Source organism: Homo sapiens, chromosome 4, assembly GCF_000001405.40.
Source record: "Homo sapiens chromosome 4, GRCh38.p14 Primary Assembly".
Lineage (NCBI taxonomy): Eukaryota > Metazoa > Chordata > Mammalia > Primates > Hominidae > Homo > Homo sapiens.
The window spans coordinates 41,624,667-41,641,835 of NC_000004.12; the positions used below are offsets into that span (position 1 = coordinate 41,624,667).

General features: G+C 41.1%; 1 protein-coding gene across 54 annotated transcripts in view; it reads left to right on the plus strand.

The window, feature by feature from the left end:
- LIMCH1 (LIM and calponin homology domains 1) overlaps positions 1-17,169 on the plus strand; it is a 340,438-nt gene that overhangs the window by 265,060 nt on the left and 58,209 nt on the right. For 20 of the 54 annotated variants that reach the window (XM_011513653.2, XM_047449835.1, XM_017007898.2 and 17 more), the window contains one exon: positions 14,266-14,301. The exons of 18 other annotated variants lie outside the window; for them this stretch is intronic. In XM_011513653.2, the coding sequence (XP_011511955.1) occupies positions 14,266-14,301 (36 nt within the window). Of the gene's footprint in view, positions 1-2,041; positions 2,345-4,825; positions 5,069-6,481; positions 6,812-8,082; positions 8,202-8,310; positions 8,420-8,881; positions 9,143-14,265; positions 14,302-17,169 lie in introns of all 54 variants that reach the window. 16 more of the 54 variants (XM_011513642.2, XM_011513644.2, XM_011513646.2 and 13 more) reach the window with 1 other exon arrangement.

Sequence of the window (17,169 nt, forward strand, 5' to 3'; positions counted from 1 at the left end):
TTCTGGAGAGCAGAGTTTCCTTCATTGGAACACACTAGCTACCAATCTGACCTGGTTGCTTATGCATTGCCACATAAAACCGGGTGAAAGAAAACACCAGCTCTTCCTTAGCTTAAATCATTACCTCATTCACTTTGAAATATATAAGCCTCAGAAATGTTGAGACAAGAGCTTTTCTTCCCCCTCACCTGCTTTGAGTCCGTAATCCCTCCTACCAAGAAAGCTAGCCTGCCTTTCTTTAGGTGAGGCTGTGCAGGATCGCCAGTTGGAGGCAGGGCTTGGCATTTCTCGTTTCACATTGCCACACTGTATTCCTTCCACATGAAACAGTGAGCTGTGCCCCCAAAGCAACTCCTTCTTCCCAAAGCTACTCATCTATGAGTGACTTGGACAAAATAAAAGTGCCAAACCTCCTCATGAATATAAAGCCAGACAGCCTGGCCTGCCCCTTGAGTATACTTTAATTAATTTACCTGAGTTCAGATGGCTTGAGCTAGAGACCTTAATATTCTCTTCTGCAAAGTGGGCGTCATAATTCCTATTTTGCAGGGTTGTCATGAAAGTTAGTGTATCTGGAATGTACTAAATGTACTAGCTACTAAGAGTTGTAGTTATTGAAAAATAAAGTAAAACAGACCCAAGTTTCACAAAAGACTGTCCTTAAGGTCCTTCAAAGAAAAAAAAAGCACATTATAAAAGTCATTTAAGTATTTTGATACCTAGACACCTGTGAATACAATCCTACATATCTACCTTATACATATTATTTATTATTTCAAGGCCAACAGGGCCAGCTCAAAACTTGTATCATTATTTTTTGCTCGCCGTGAATCTGCCTTGAAGCTCTGAATTTAAAAGACTCAAGCAATTAGTGGAAAATCAGTCATTGTGACAACTTTTCAAGTGGGTGGGGAGTGTCTTCAAATAGCCAATGATACGGAAACTTTCTTCACGCTCTTTTTTATATATTTTTTTAAGTCTGCATATCTAAATTGAGATCACTTGAAATGAGTCTTGCCACACTGGGCATTTAGCCTAAAAATAAACACCCAACGGAATTTGCAGCCTGGCTGGGTTCACAAGATGCACAAGGGACCAGATTCTCCCTGCTCAAATTGGCATCGCAAATTGGCAGGGTCATTTGCATAAATACGAATATTTTATTCCAAAAAATTCTGCCCAAGTTGGGGGAGGTTGGAGCCCAGGACTGTTTGGTTTGTCCCAAAGTGGAAAGAATGTTGCTCTTGGACTTCAGGGGTTCAAGCAGAAGATCTGCTCCCAAATTAGGGTATGAGAGCTATGATTGCACCACTGCGTTCCAGCCTGGGTGACAGAACAAGACCCTGTCTCTTAAAAAAAAGAAAAAGAAGAGAGGTGGAGAGACAGGAGGATAGAAGAGGGAAGAAAGAGTTGCTGATGGAAAGGTGCAGGGCAAGATAAGCTTCCTGGGAGTGGAGGACCAGGGAATGGAATAGTTTAAGACCATCCTATGAGTGGTCGTAAACTATCCCAGATGTTTCAGGTTAGCTCAGCTCTGAAGAAAGACTTCCTTACATTTTGTAATCTGTTACACATTCTAGGTGTGGTGTCACACAGCTGCATTCATTTGTTTTCCCCCAGATCAGTTTCTTGGTGGCTCAATTTTTTGCCCTGTCAGTCAAAAACAAATTAAGTGTCTACTGGGTACTCATGTGCTAAAGAAAAAGGAACAGTAACAAAAAGCTTCCCATTTTTCCCCAATTTCATGCAAAGAATCTGCACTGTCACTTTCAGAGCCATTTAGGATCCTGCTTTTCTGTTGCTGGTGGAAGCCCTGAAAATTAAATGAATTTTTAGTATTGCTAGTGTCTGGCTAAATTCAAGGTTTTAAAACCCACCCTAACTATGCTGCAATTCTAGACTGAAATAATGAACAGATGTCATTTGAACTAACAATATCGAGAAGACTTTTCACTAACAACACAGTTGTCTGTCTAGAGATGGAGATTTAATTTTTTTTGTCTGATCACATGTGGAGTCCCATTTAATTTTCCCCTATCAGTCAAAAACAATTAAGTGAAGAGAAAGAAGCTATTCGTGATATTGTCCTTCGCAAAGAAAACTCTTTCCTGACCCACCAACATGGCAACGATTCAGAGGCAGAAGGTGAAGTTGTGTGTCGACTGCCTGATCTTGAGAAGGATGACTTTGCTGCAAGGAGAGCAAGGATGAACCAAACCAAGCCAATGGTGCCATTAAATCAACTCCTCTATGGCCCTTATCCAAAGAAAGGGGCAGAGAAATCAGATGGCAGCAAACAGCTCTCAAAGGGAATCTCAAAAAAAAGAAGTCTAGAATATAAAAGGTGTGCATGGTGTGTGTGTGTGTGTGTGTGTGTGTGTGTGTGTCTATGAAAGAGACACAGGGAGAGAGGACATAATTAAGTGAAGTCAGTTTGTATTGTACCCCCTCCAGTTCCTCTTTCCAGCCTCTCAATTATATGTACTTTGTAATGGGGGTTTATTTTGAAGCGGAACTTTAGATATTCAATCTCCCTTAAATGCAGATGGCAGACAGTAGAGTGTCCATGTCCAAAATAGGGCTGAATTTGCCAAAGAAACATTGAATTCCAGTGTGTAGATGTGCTGAATCAGGGCTCATCACCACATATGGGTGCTGGTGTCATCAGTTGGCATTATTAGCAAAAATAGACATGTACTATTGCCTATCAGAGAACAGCCACCTCTCACAGCTGCTCTAGTCCATTCAAAGGAAGCAGAAAAACGCTAAAAGCACTTCTCTCTTATTAGCTACATTTAGATGTTGGAAGAAAAAAAAATGAGACTTGTTCTTTCTTCTGTCACACCAGCAACATCACCTAGACAAATGATAATGGATATTTCCCATCAAAAACACTTCTCAAACTTATACTTCTATATGTTCTGTCATAGAAATTGTTTTCAAGCCAGTTTCCTTTTGCCAACATTTTCCCCGTCCTCTTAATACATGTTGGAGTGAATTGGGGACAGGAAAATTATAGTAAGATGGAATTTGACCAGTGATTTTTGTCCTGAGAGGGAGATATGATTTCATTTAGGGAACCTACTTGCTGAATTTCATCCTGCAGAGTTAATCATTCTTGTATTTTTCCTTATATCAAAATCAGCTAGAGTTAGCATCTACATTATTGAATTGTCATCTTTTTGCCCATCACTTTAGAGGTTTTTAAGCCTGTTGAACTTAGTATATAATTATCTCAGCTGTGCTTTAGACAATTAAAATGGTTCTTTAGGCAGAGTTGTTGAGCTCAGGGGAGTAGTTGGTCTTTTTGATTTTTCTTAGGAAGTACCAGATACAAAAACCCATGAGGGATTCCTGGATATAGAACAGGGATTCGATAAGAGAAAATCTGGCATCATTTCTTTACAGGACACATTATAGCTTCAGGAGGCCCTTGGTCTTTGCCATTGCTGTTGGCAGGCCTTGTAACAAACCATTCTTGGAGGGCCTTGTGGGAGGGATCAGTTGTGCAAGTGAAACAAAGACTTTTGGATAACTGACTAACATCAAGGCATATTGATGGCAATCAGCAATTTGAGTCAGGAAAAGGACTAGCCTTTGTATCTCCCTTGTTTCCTTTCTCCTCCATGTAATTTTAATTCCTGATATTTCCAGCTATATTTGTCTGTTGTCACCTGACTCTGTGTTTGCGGACGCAGTTCTGGGTCTGAAGCAGCCCTTGACCTCTCTAGACAGCATCAAAGAACTTATTAAAAAAAAAAAAAAAAAGAAGGGTCCCTAGTGCCTCTTTGCCATGCCCTTCCTTGATCTCCTTCCTCAAACTAAGAAAATTCTATAGCCTTTCTATTTTTATGGGCTGTGCAAGCATGCCAAATCATCAAGGTAACAAAAGACTACCTCTTGATTTTCCAGCTTGAATGATATATTTTGTGGGAAGATTAATAGGCTCTATTTATATATTTTTTGAGATTTTTCTATTTCAAGAAGCATATTTAGTTAGAAATAGACTTTTAATGGAATATTTATATATATAAATGCCACAGCTTTGGTTTAAATCGCAGTTTTGTCAACATTAGCCAGCTAAGGTTCACTTCATAGGAGAACAATGGAAAATATCAGTTTTAGCATCAATAAAGGTGAACGGTTATTAACACAAGAAACAAGTGGGTATTGACCCTGTCAATCCAGGTAAAGAGGAATACCCTCTGCTTTTCAAGTTTGCATTAGCCAAACCTGACTAATGCCATGAAGCAGACGTTGAGTTTAAACATTGAAACTTTCTGTTCAGAATTGACTTAGATGTACTTTCTGGCAGCTGTGGGTTTAGGTTTGAGATGTTTAATATGTGAACAATGTTCCAGCTATCTCCAAACTAATCCTAGAATTTGGATCATGCAGAGCTCATTATGAACATTTTACTAATGCAGTAAAAAACATTCCAAGAGGGCTAAGGGATTCATCAGAAAACCCGAATTCATTACAGTAACTTGAATAGTGTGGGAATTGGGCATCATTACCATCCAACCAAAATCTCATTACCATTAGTAATCTTTCAGCAGGCACGGCTTCTTTTCCTAAACTGTAGTTGAGACTGTCATCTGGAAGGGGAAAAAAACCTCTGTCTCATTCAGAGTTGTAATAAGGGTGGTATAGATGAAAGTCATCACAGCTCCCGTTGATTCCATTTTTGAGAAAGAGAAAAGTGTTTCCATCATTTTGTTCTGTCCTCAGCCTGTGAGTTTCCATGCTTGACATTCTCTTTGTCTGCTCCCCTTCCTTGAACTTGATTTTTCCATTGGTGTGGGGGCCCGGATCAAATGGACAGAAACCAGGGCCACACAGAAGAGGTGAAGTTGATAGTGACCTGTAACATGAGGGCTCAGGAAAGTGAACCTGTGGAAGGAGGACTCAGGAAGGTGCCAGATCTTCACAAGGATGACCTGGCCCAGCAGAGAATTCAGGGCAGCCTTGCCCCTCACCGCGAGCCCCCGAGCTTCATTACGCTCTCCAACATAACAGAAGCTGACTTGGAGACGTGGGAGAGACTCAAAGTGTCAGAAAAGGCGAGGTGTGTCATGTTTCCCCCCCAGTTTCCCCCTGGCAGTCATGGTATTTCATTTTGAAGGCATCAAATGCTTATCTTTGTGTCTTTTTTTTTTTTGTCAGGGTCTTGCTCTGTTGCCCAGGCTGGAATATAGTGGCTTGATCACAGTTCACTGTACCCTCGACTCCTGGGCTCAAGCAGTCCTCTCCCTCAGCCTCTTGAATAGCTGGGACTACAGGCCCATGCCACTATGCCTGGTTAATCTTTTGATTTTTTCTAGAGACAAGGTCTCACTATGCTGCCCATGCTGGTCTTGAACTCCTGGGCTCAAGGGATCCTCCCACCTCAGCTTCCCAAAGTCTTGGGATTACAGATGTGAGCCACTGCACCTGGCCAAAATTTTAATTAATTAATTAATTTTTTTAAATAGAGATGGGGTCTTGCTATGTTGCTCAGGCTGATCTCGAACACCTAGGGCTCCTGGGGCTCAAGTGATCCTTCCATATCAGCCTCCCAAAGTGCTGGGATTACAGGCATGAGCCACCGTGCAAGCCCCTTGTATCATTTTTTATTTTGATGGCTTGAAAAAGTGCGTCTCACATCACAGAGCTGCTGGAGCTCAGCATATGCAGCATGAGATGAATTTATTAATACTAAAAGTTACAAACCACATGGAGAGAAAACATTCTCTTTTTAACCCAGCCAACTTTCTAAGAATGTTTATTTATTTTGATAGACTTGTTTACTGTAAATAATTTAAACTTGACTTTCAAATAATTTTAATTATTCCACAGTACCTAAGATTTTCTTATGCCCTTGTTTATGATGTTAGAGATGTTAGAATTGATGTTTTGAAAGCTATAGAAGCTTAAAGACAAGGTAATGATCATTTCTAGGCAAGACAATGATCATTTCTCCATTTGAGTGTTAATGAAAAAGCAATTTTGCTCTAGCCTTAAAAATATTTTTCATATACAGTCTTCCCTCAGTATCCGTGCTTGATTCCAGAATTCCCCTTGGATACCAAAATTCTTAGAGGCTCAAGTTCCTTATATGAAATGGTATAGTATTTGCATATAACCTATGCACATCCTCCCATATACTTTAAATTATCTGTAGATTACCGATAATAGCTACATTAACGTAAGCATACCTTATACGTGTATACCTAATACAGTGCTTTCACATCACTTTATTCATGTGGATTCAGTGTAGTACTTAGTGCACGGCAAATTCAAGTTTTGCTTTTTGAAACTTTGTGGAATTTTTTTCTCCCAAATAATTTCCATTGAGGTTGGTTGAATCCCGTCAGTGGGATGCCGAACTCACTGATAGGGAGGGCCAACTACTTCTAGTTTTTTTTTTTGTTTTTTTTTTAAAAACCTCTTATTGATTTGTACTCAGACACTTTTAGAACTTATTTCTGGTTTTGACTAGGGATGGAGATGTTCAGCACATCTGTGCTTCTGAGCCTTCCCCAGAAATTAAAGCAGAAACTGCCATTCGTGATGACTTTGCCAACCGCAAAGCAAGGGCCTCTAAGAAAGCTTCCAGCCCCAGGCAAAAGTTTGTGCACTTTGGGCCAGTGACGGAGCTAGATCAGCAGAAATGGAAGCGGCTTAGCATTGGCAAGGCTGGGCCTAGAGAGGATGAAGAAGAAGTCATCTGTCATGGCAGCAAGATTCAAATGGACTCTGTGTCTCCTGTCTCAGCGGCCACTTCCAGCTTAAAGGGCCACCAAATATTTAATCGACAAAATGACTGCAGGTATTTTTTGCCATACGTGTGCAAGGATATCTGCATGGGAGTCACTGCTGCTTTTGTAGAGTTTGCTGAAGCACATTATACAAGCCCCTAGAGATGACATAGTTTTAACAGACTATGTATAGCAGAGAAGTAATGTTAGCGGGTCCCCCTGCGGGGAACATGTATGTGAAGTTAAATGGCAGGCATCCATTTTGATTCTGTTGTCACCAGAATCACTGCCTGGGAATGCCAATAATCTTGGCAAATGACCCTTTTTCCCTTGGCTGCATCCAGTACTATTTTATTAGTTGAAAATACCAAATGAGCTAAATGGAATGTTTTAATGATATCAGTAGGGTTTCCTGGGCTTATGTATAACCTCTCTCTTTCCTGTCCCTTAGAGAGAGAAAGAAAAAGTTATTAGTATCATGAGTTCACGTTTCAGACATACATCTAAGTAGACATATTAAAAAAGTAAAGGTCTCCTTCCTCCCCCACTTTTTAAAATTATATAATAAATCAGGAGTCTTAAAAACCTCCTCTTTGGGGGTTTCTGTAAGTCGAGAGTTTCCTTGGATGAATCGCTATCCAAATGTGTGAGGGAAGAACACCTTTATAGGCCTGTCTCAGTTCTCATCCTCCCTGGAGGCCACCCAGTTTTGAGTTCCCAAGCCCTCTTTTGGGGATTTGGTTCTGTGGGCTGGTCTGTCTTCCAGGAAACACATATAGGACATGTGTAAAACCGGATTGCCCTGGGAACCTCCATTCCCTCTGTACAGCAGGAGCAAAGTGAGGCTCTCCGTAGCAGGAAGAAGTGTTCATAGCATTCTTCTTTATACCTTGCCCTTGAAATCCAAAGGAAATGATGGATGGCCTATGACCTATAGAAGGGTTTCTTTGGTTCCAGACTCGGGGTGACACCATAGAAGAGAGAAGGCTATAAACACCAGAAATAAAGAGTTGAGGTTTCAGAGGATGGTGGGGATCTGGGGTGGGGAGGAGGGGGTAGGAAATTAATAAGAAATACGTCCTCGAGGCCTTGAATCCTGAGAGGCCCATCATTCAGTCTTGTGGTGACAGAGTCACACAGCCTTGTTTGACCTTCATAGGCCCTAGCCAGAGTTCACATTCCATTATCTCAATCTGATTATATCATCCTTACTAACCAGCCTTTGGAATGAGAGCAGCCACATTCTTCTCTTAATCTTTCAGTCCCAAGGACTTTCACTGTCTTCTTTCGTAACCCATGTTCCTCTCCTCTCTTGCCACCAATGCTACTTGATCGTCTGCAGAACAATGAATTGTGGCCGAGGTGACTATTGCAGAAGGGCCTCGTGGCTGGCTCCTGTGCCGGAGTCTCAGGAAGAGTGGGTCTGCAGTTTGGGCGAGTGCCCGAGGGGGACAGAGGAAGGTGAGGAGCAGTGTTTCCTGCCTTCCCGGGAGGTGAAGGAGGACAGGTGGGGTCAGAGCCTCTGGTGTGAATTCTTTCCTAGGAGTGAAACTGTCCTCTCTGGCTTTAGTTACATCCAAACAGCTGCCACAGGATGGCAAAGAAGAAACAGAAAGCGCTCCAAGAGATTCTGAGAGGCTGTCAAAGGCAGAAAGATCAGAGGACAGCAGCCAGCCACTGTGAGCATCTTGCCTGCGCTCTGCTCCGTGGTGTGTTGCCCCTGCTGTGTGTGGCTGTCGTGTTCCCAAAAAAACAGCTTAAAGTCACAGTCTGCACCTGGCGACTGATAGAGCGTGGAGTAAAGTCACTAAAAGAGTGTGCTCATCCCAAGATCAGAGTTCTGCTTCTGGTGCCCGCTCTGGGTAGATATTTTAGCCTTTGCATGTGGCTGAGTACTGGCCAAATTTCATTCTCAGGACTCATGAAAACCAGAAAGGGACCCCCATTCCTGTGTGAGTATCAGCTGCATGACAGAGGGTCCCAGTACTCAAAAGGGAGATTTCCTGCTCAGCTGCTCTGTGTGCCGCTGCCTCCAGGGATGCTGGCTTCTTCTGTCTTGAATTAACGCCAGTGAGTGACACTACTGAAAATATCTTTAGCAGTAAGTGGCCTTTGACTGGCTGGACTGAATGTTGCCCTAGGGTGTGTCCTCTGGCCTCTGAGTGTGAGGCTTCAGGGACAGAAGAGAAGTTGGAGAAGATGACAGCTCCTGCCTGGAGTGGCAGTGGACTGAAAGGCCAGCGAAAGTTGGATGATTCACGAAAAGATGACATGATGGCCAGGAGAACTGGGATGTCCCTTAGACACACTGGATCCAACCCAAACCAGTTCCTTCCAGTTCCATTTGCAAAGCAACAGGATGTGGAAGAATCTTCTAAAGGTCTACCCATGAAAGATCAGAGGTCAGAAAGTTATTCTGTGCCCTTGTGACTTTGTTTCTCCAGTCTGAGCTTTCAGTGTGTTCTTAATGCATTATGGCACCTCAGTGCCGCTTACCTGCTGTTGCTAGCAGAAACAGAATGATCAAAATTGGCCTCATCTGCGAAGAAATTTTTCCTCTTTTTACATGTAAGCAGGTGTGATTCAGTGGTGAATTTACCTGTTAAACATTTTTTTCTGACTCTTGTGGACTGAATAAATGGGAAATTCTTTTATTTCTTTCTAGCTCACATAGGAGCCTTTGGGCAAAGGGGTTGAACTTCTATCTGACTTACTTGATTTCACTTTGATTCCAGGTCCAAAGAAGATGAATACATTTATAAAAGTTGTAATTATATTAATTTTTCAACATTAGCAAACACTCGTTGCCTTCTGCAGTAGGATTTCTATTCCATGCTCTGACTTGACTTAGAGTCAACCATGACTTGATGACGACTAAGGAAATAATTATCCTGGGGTTCCTGTTCCAGTTTAGGGTCCTATATGTTGAAGCCTGTCTTGCCATTTAATAAAAGTGATACATTTTTGTTAAATGTATGGTAAGCCTACCAATGTAGGGCAAAGAAGTGAGGAGGGCTTTGCATAATTTATAAGCTCACCATAAAATAGGAAGCAATGGAGTTCTGCTTCTCCAAGGACCCTGATGGCAGTGGGAGAGAAGGCAGAGTGGGAGGCAAGGAGAACAGTAGGTAATCTCTCCAGATTTTTAAAAAATCAATACCCTAGCCATCTTGATCACCTGAATTTAATCTATATTTTACATTCTTCTGAATAAAACAGTAATGGAGCCTAGCACTGTTTTCAGGGAGCAGAAGTAATATTTGTGCTTTACAACCACAGAGTGCTTTGTAGCGTTTCCTGTGTGTCTGCTCCCTCAAGCTCACCTTGTCCTGGGAATTCACAGGTAGGTTGAAGGAATCTATGTTAGCTCCATTTCACAAATAAGAAGGCTGATGTAGAGAAAAGCTGCGTGAGTGGATCACACATGATTCCCGAGCTGGTTAGGACTGGGAAGACAGAGGAACAGAGTGGTGAAGTGGGTCCTCCACAGTTACTCACTTTCCAGATGCCCTGGACTTGACCCTGGATCCGCGGGCTTCTGTAAAGCAAGTTAGAATGAAAGGAAAGAAGGAGGTGAGGCCTAGAGACTGCCTACTGGATACATTTAGGCGCTCTCCCATTCATTTATTCCTTACACTACCTTTGAGAGGAAGAATTTTCATCTGCATTTTGCAGTTAGGAAACTGAGGTCCACATGTACACAGCTGGTACCTACAGAGCCAAGATCCAAACTCAGCTCTGTCAGAGTGGAAAACCAGCATCCCTCTCCAGCATGATGCCTACACGAGTAACTAGAGGAGACTGTGGAAGCCTGAGGAATTCTCTGTCACTTTTTTTTTTTTTTTGAGATGGAGTCTTGCTTTGTTGCCCAGACTGGAGTGCAGGGCCCGATCTCAGCTCACTGAAACCTCTGCCCATTCAAGCGATTCTTATGCCTCAGCCTCCTGAATAGCTGGGATTATATGCGCCCTCCACCACGCCCAGCTAATTTTTGTATTTTTAGTAGAGACGGGGTTTCGCTGTGTTGGCCAGGCTGGTCTGGAACTCCTGACCTCAAGTGATCCACCTGCCTTGATCTCCCAAAGTCCCGGGATTACAGGTTTGAGCCACTGCACCTGGCCTGTCACTCTTTGTGATTCTGGAAAGATTCCTCTTTATTTTCACATGGGAATGGACAGTTACTCTGAGCACAGGGAGGAATGGTCAGGTGAACTATGTGACATATTGTGTGAATGAGCCAGCAAACACTGTCGGTATGCACATTTCCTATCAACAAGTGTTTATCAAGTAATAATCACTATGTGTAAAGCACTGTGCTGGATGCTGGGGGTGATCTTAGATGAGCAGTAAAAACACTTTAAGCTAACGCTAGTTCATGATATAGAAATAGATAACTATCAAATTATTGATTCTGAAATGCTTTATTAGTAGTGAAAGTTACATAAATACAGGCAATGGGTGCATAGGCTATTCCCTTTATCTTTCTACCTACCCCTACCCTCAAAAGTAAACTTTATTTTATTTTTTTGAGACAGGATCTCACTCCATCACCCAAGCTAGTGTGATCATAGTTCACTGCAGCATATCCCTTCCAGACTTGAGCAATCCTCCCACCTCAGCCTCCCAAGTAGCTGGGACCACAGGCGTACACCACTACACCTGGCTGATTTTTTTGTTTTTATTTTGTAGAGGCAGAGTCTCACTATGTTGCCCAGGCTGGTCTCAAACTCCTGGCCTCAAGTGATCCTCTAACTTCAGCCTCCCAAGTGTTGGGATTATAGGCATGAGCCACCATGCCTGGCCTCAAAATTAAACTTTATTGACTTTTTTTTTTTTTTTGTAGGATGCTTTTGTCAACTGTGACCTGCGTGGCCAATTTTTACCTCATAACCTATTGAGTCACGTACTTTGCATTGGAAAGATTGCTTTATTACTTTTTTTTTTTTTTTTTTTTGCTAACTTGCCTTTACTTTTTGATCTCCTGTAGGATGATTGGGAAAGTCACTTGACACCTCAGCTCTAATTATCTTCCCCTTGCCAGCAAAGGCAATTCTGCTTAAGTTGGTGCCCTTTTAAAGCTAATACAAGTCTCAGAGGAAATTCCTTAAACCCCCAGTACATAGTAAAGGGATAAATGAAGGTTATCTTCGGAAACTGGGCTATTCTTTTCTCTTCAATTTCTAGAGCACCTGATAAGTATTTAATAAATACTTATTGACTAGTCTGGCCACTGTTCAGGGAACCCAAACAGAAAAATCTCTGCTTCTGTGGGGCTTACATTTTGGTATAGATCTACATTTATTGGTAGAGATGTCCATGAAATACTGTTAATTACTTTGTGTAGAAACAACTTAAATTCAGATATATCCTACATGCAACAACATAGTTGAAACTCACAAAATGTGCTAAAGAAGACAAACTCAAGAGTACATACTATTTGAGTCTGTTTACGTAGTACAAATCACTCAACGCTAATCTATGCATATGTTCATTTTGTGAAAATGCATTGAAGTATATGTGTGGTATGTGCACTTTCTGTATATAGCTTAAACTTCAATAAAATGTTAATTAAAATATTCAAATTGAAACACAAAAACACATAGCAACTATTAATAGATTCTTGATTAACCATCCATTGGGAAGAAATTCTCTGCTCTCTTCCATAGATAACTTAGAAAACACTGTGTTTGAATAAATGTATTCCAATAGGCCTATTTATTAACTGGGAAACACTTACCTAGTCTTCAGAATTAATATTGCCCTTGCACTCCTTTTCCTTTTCCTTTCCTTTCCTTTTCAGACAGAGTCTCACTCTGTTGTCACCCAGGCTGGAGTACAGTGGCGTGATCTCTGCTCACTGCAACCTCTGCCTCCCCAGTTCAAGTGATTCTCCTGCCTCACCCTCCAGAGTAGCTGGGACCACAGGTGTGCACCACCATGCCCAGCTAATTTTTTATGTGATTGGTAGAGACAAGGCTTTGCCATGTTGCCCAGGCTGGTCTCGAACTCCTGAGCTCAAGCAATCTGCCTGCCTTGGCCTCCCAAAGTGCTGGGATTACAAGCATGAGCCACCACGCCCAGCCCACTCTCTCAATGTGAAAGAACCCACTTGTCATCTGCTTCAATGCAGTAGTGTTTTTGAAAATTGAGAATATTAGGTTCAACTTAAGCACCTTCCGAAACGATACTCTGGAGAAGGAGAAAATGAGTCTTACTGCCAGAAGAAAAACATTCATAAACCCTTTCCTTGTCTTGTTTTTGGCCATTTCAACAGAGATTTGGGGTTTTGCATTGGTATGGTTGCCTTCACTGTGAATTAAATCATTATCAATGAATGTAGATTATTCTAGAATGATAAAAGCATAAGAGAGAAGGGGGTATGTGTGTGTACACTCATGCATTCTGGGGTGTTTTCTCTAAGATTCTCTAAGATTTCTCTAAGATTGCAGGAAGAGATGTTTAGAAATTACCCTTTTCCTATAAACTATTGTGAAACTGATCATGGGACCAGGTAATTTTTGCTGCCGACTCCAAAATGTAATTTATTGGAAACTGGAAGCAGGACGTATTTTCTTCACTATTCTTTGTCCACCATCAGAATTGCAGAAAGGAGGAGCTTTTCAGGGTATAGGTAAGAACTGACCCTTAAAACTCGCCTTTGCTGAAGAGACAGGCATTTGTGGGAGCTGTGTTGTTTTGTTGTTGTTGTTGTTGTTGTTGTTGTTGTTTTTTCATGTGCTGGAAATATGGCTTGTAATGTTCTAATATTTTTCTAATTTAGTCTTTTTGCTTTAGACTCATTTAGACTTCCGGTGACTATCGCAGAGGGTACAACTTTATGGATCTAAATTATCAGGAGAATATAAAAGATTAGAAAAAAACTTTAGTTTTTCAAGTTATGGAGTATCATTCAAGTCTGGTTTTGATTAAGGCTACCAGTTTTCTAGGAATTGTGGTTTCTGTCAAATGCATGCGGAAGGCACTGATTGGGGTTCTGGTTGGAGTTCTGGTTTCCCTTCAGAAAACTGCAGAAACACTCTTTGATGTTATTTGTGCAAATGCATTAACATCTCAGGGACAGGGTCAGTAAGGGTGCACTTGTACAGTGGGTGTCCATTACAGCCCATTACTGCTGAACATAAAGGCACAAAAAGTTGAACTGTTTGTGAATGACTGTAATACATGTTTGTTTTCTAAGCTGCCTTCTCTAAACGCTGTGGATTGCACCTAAGCCTTTCTGTGTTTATATTGAACAGATTCTTTCTTTTTGGGTAGTGTGGGGATTATTTTCATTTCTCTTCTGGGTTTTGAGATAAATTTTGCATTTTTTAGAAATATCAAGACTTGTCTTTGATTTTTCAGCAGCCAATGAATATTGCTAATTGTATAATGCCATTTCTCTTTCAGTATCTCAGCAAAAAAGGTTTGGCGCACATGTATTTCACCGGCAGTTTCTATTTCCAGCTTGCTTACAGTGTTCACTTTCAACTCTGCCAGTCCTCTAATTTTTTATTTGATCTTATAGATACGGTCCGAGAACTCCTGTGTCTGATGACGCAGAGTAAGTTGCCTTGTATTTGTAGGATTACATTAATTACTAGCCTAAACTGCATGCTTCCAGTACTTACCACTAATTGAAATGCAACTGATGCAAGTGAACTGAATAGTTAGCTGACTTGTGCAGCAAAGCACTTGAAGTTGGAATGCAGAGCATACATTCTGTGCAGGAAAGATGAATGAAAAAGCAACTTAAGCATGATTCTAATATGAAGCTGCTGCTTGAAACTTAACATTTGCTTTCCATAGACTGGGCATGTTAAAGTCGTTGTTCTTGTTATGGTCTGAACATTGGTACCCCTTCTGAACTATAGATTTATTTAAAGGGCATTCTGAGTTTTGCACTTAATTCTTGATATGTTGGGGCTTAGAGTTAACAATGAGGTAGTCATTCCCATAGTCTCATTTTTTAACTAAGAAAATAAATCCCAAACCACTAATTATAGATTCAGAAGCCCAAGTTCCTCCCAGGTTGGAGTCACATAAACTGTGGGATGCTTGAGACCAAAACATTGGAGTTTTGCTCAAGTCCCATGGCTTAGCAGGGGGCCAAGGATGTAAGACATGACTGGCCCTTCCCCTCCCTGCTGCTTGGTTTTCACTCAACCAAGCAGAGGTTCATTCCTTATCCCGTACTCCACATCCAAATTTGAGAAGACTCCAAACCCTCCCATTTGTGACCACATTAACTCTGCTTCAGAAATGGATTTCCCATATGCAGATCATTCTGCAACTGATATTCAAGGCAAACTTTTTTTTATTTGCAAAATGCTAGACTTCTCAGATTCAAGTAATTTGTATTTGAAGAAACATGATTAATATCTAAATCCAGCATCAGTAGTCTGCTGATCCTGATATTGAGGAGCATTTTGTGGCCTCGTGGGAGCCTGGGCCATCCAGAATGTAATCACCAGTCCTCCTCTGCCTATCCTTTCCTGAGCCTCAGTTTCAAGTCACACAATGAGGAATTTGAATAGAATTTGCATGTAGAACATGCAAACATCATTTCCACCAATGACAATGAGATTAGGCAAAAAATTAAGTGTCTTCAGATTGTGCTATTTTCATGTTTGTGTTCAAGATGTCTGCTTAGTTTGGACTCTGAGCCCTAAGTGGTCAAACTCCAGGGCCAAGTTTCCCATGTGTGATCTGACATAAAGAACACTCATGCCTCAAAACCAAATTCAGCCTGAGCTTGACTGACTGCACAGAGTTAAGTAGTCTGTAAAATTGAGCCCTGGTTATTACTTTTCAAACCTGCAATGGCAATATTTAACATTCACTGAAAGGAGGATTTTATAAGATTGACAGGCAAAACACTACTTTGGTTTGGTGAGCGAAAACATTTTGATAGAATGGATTTCTTCTTCATCAATGCAAGGCTGCTATACAATTTGCTTAAAATAGACCCCTGGGAAAGGTGAAAGAAAGGAAGGGAAATTAAAGAGTTTCTGAATTTTGCCTTCACCTGAACACAAAACTTCACCCACAGGAAAAGTTAATGATTTCTTAAAAGGGGTGGGGACAGGGACTCCCTTCTTGCCTTCTCTAAGTTTACAAAATGCAGCCCCAGGGACCAAGAAGAGTAAAAGGAGCTTTTTTTCCAGAGCTCTTATCTAGGGATATCCAAAGTGCTGAGTTTCCTGCTTAGAGCAGATACAATTTACATGAAACCATGTGGGGAACAAAATGAAAAGTTGATATCAGGAATTTATTCTTAAAATAGAAACTTATACTATTTTTAGTTTATTCCCTTAATATCTCCTTTTTCCAAAATCTTTAAAGGCAGTTTTTTGGCACAGGCTATATTTATTAATAATTGACACATTCTTAAAATAGAGCCCAATCAAAAAAAAGATGAGCCCTTTAAGGAGAATATAGGTCAGGGGCAGACCTACCGCACAGGCAAACAGAGAAATTTCCACCTCCTAACCAGCCAAGAATGTTTCCATAGATTTAATTTCACCTTCTTGCCCTTTTCTTCACTTTCACACTCTTTCCCTCCCAATACCTGGCCCACCAAAGGAGTCGGTACGTTGTGAGAGCCATAGGCCATTTTATTCTGAATTCCTTTACGGTAGACTTGGCCCAGAAACAATTTCCAGGCCCTTGGGGTAATTCCATCCCGGCCCTCAAAAATGCCAACCCACCACCAAGGGAGACTCCTGGACTCTGCAGCCAGGAGCCCTCATCCCAACAGCCCAAGGGCATAGACGTAGGTACTGAGGAGCACAGGATTAGTCCAAGTCACATTAATATTCTGGAAGCTGGCCATCTCCAGGATCCCATATCCGCCAACCCCCATCCCCAGACACACACCTCTTCATTTGGGAGGCCAAGTCTAACCTGAACTAGGGAACATGTTCTGAATGACAACTCAGCCCATTTTCTTTCTAGTATTATCAATTCTCAACTTCTTAATTTTTTTTTGAAAATGGCATAAATATATCACTCATAGGTTTGTTATTTCTTTTTTGGCCAGTTTGCTGATATTTCTTAAAAAAAAAAAATCTTGAGAAAAAAAATCATACAGGTTGAGCCTGCCTTATAGAAAATGTTTGGAATGAGAAGTGTTTCAGATTTTGAACTTTTTTAGATTTTGGAATATTTGCATATACATAGTGAAGTATCTTGAGGATGGAACCCAAGTCTAAACATGAAATTCATTTATGTTCCATATATACCTTATACATATAGACTGGAGGTGATTTTATACAATAGTTTAAATAATTTTGTGCATGAAACAAAGTTTTGGCTGCACCCCATCACACAAGGTCAGGTGTGGAATTCTCCACTTGTGGGGTCATGTCAGCATTCAAAGAGTTTTGGAGTTTGGAGCATTTCAGATTTCAGATTTTTGGATTAGGGATGT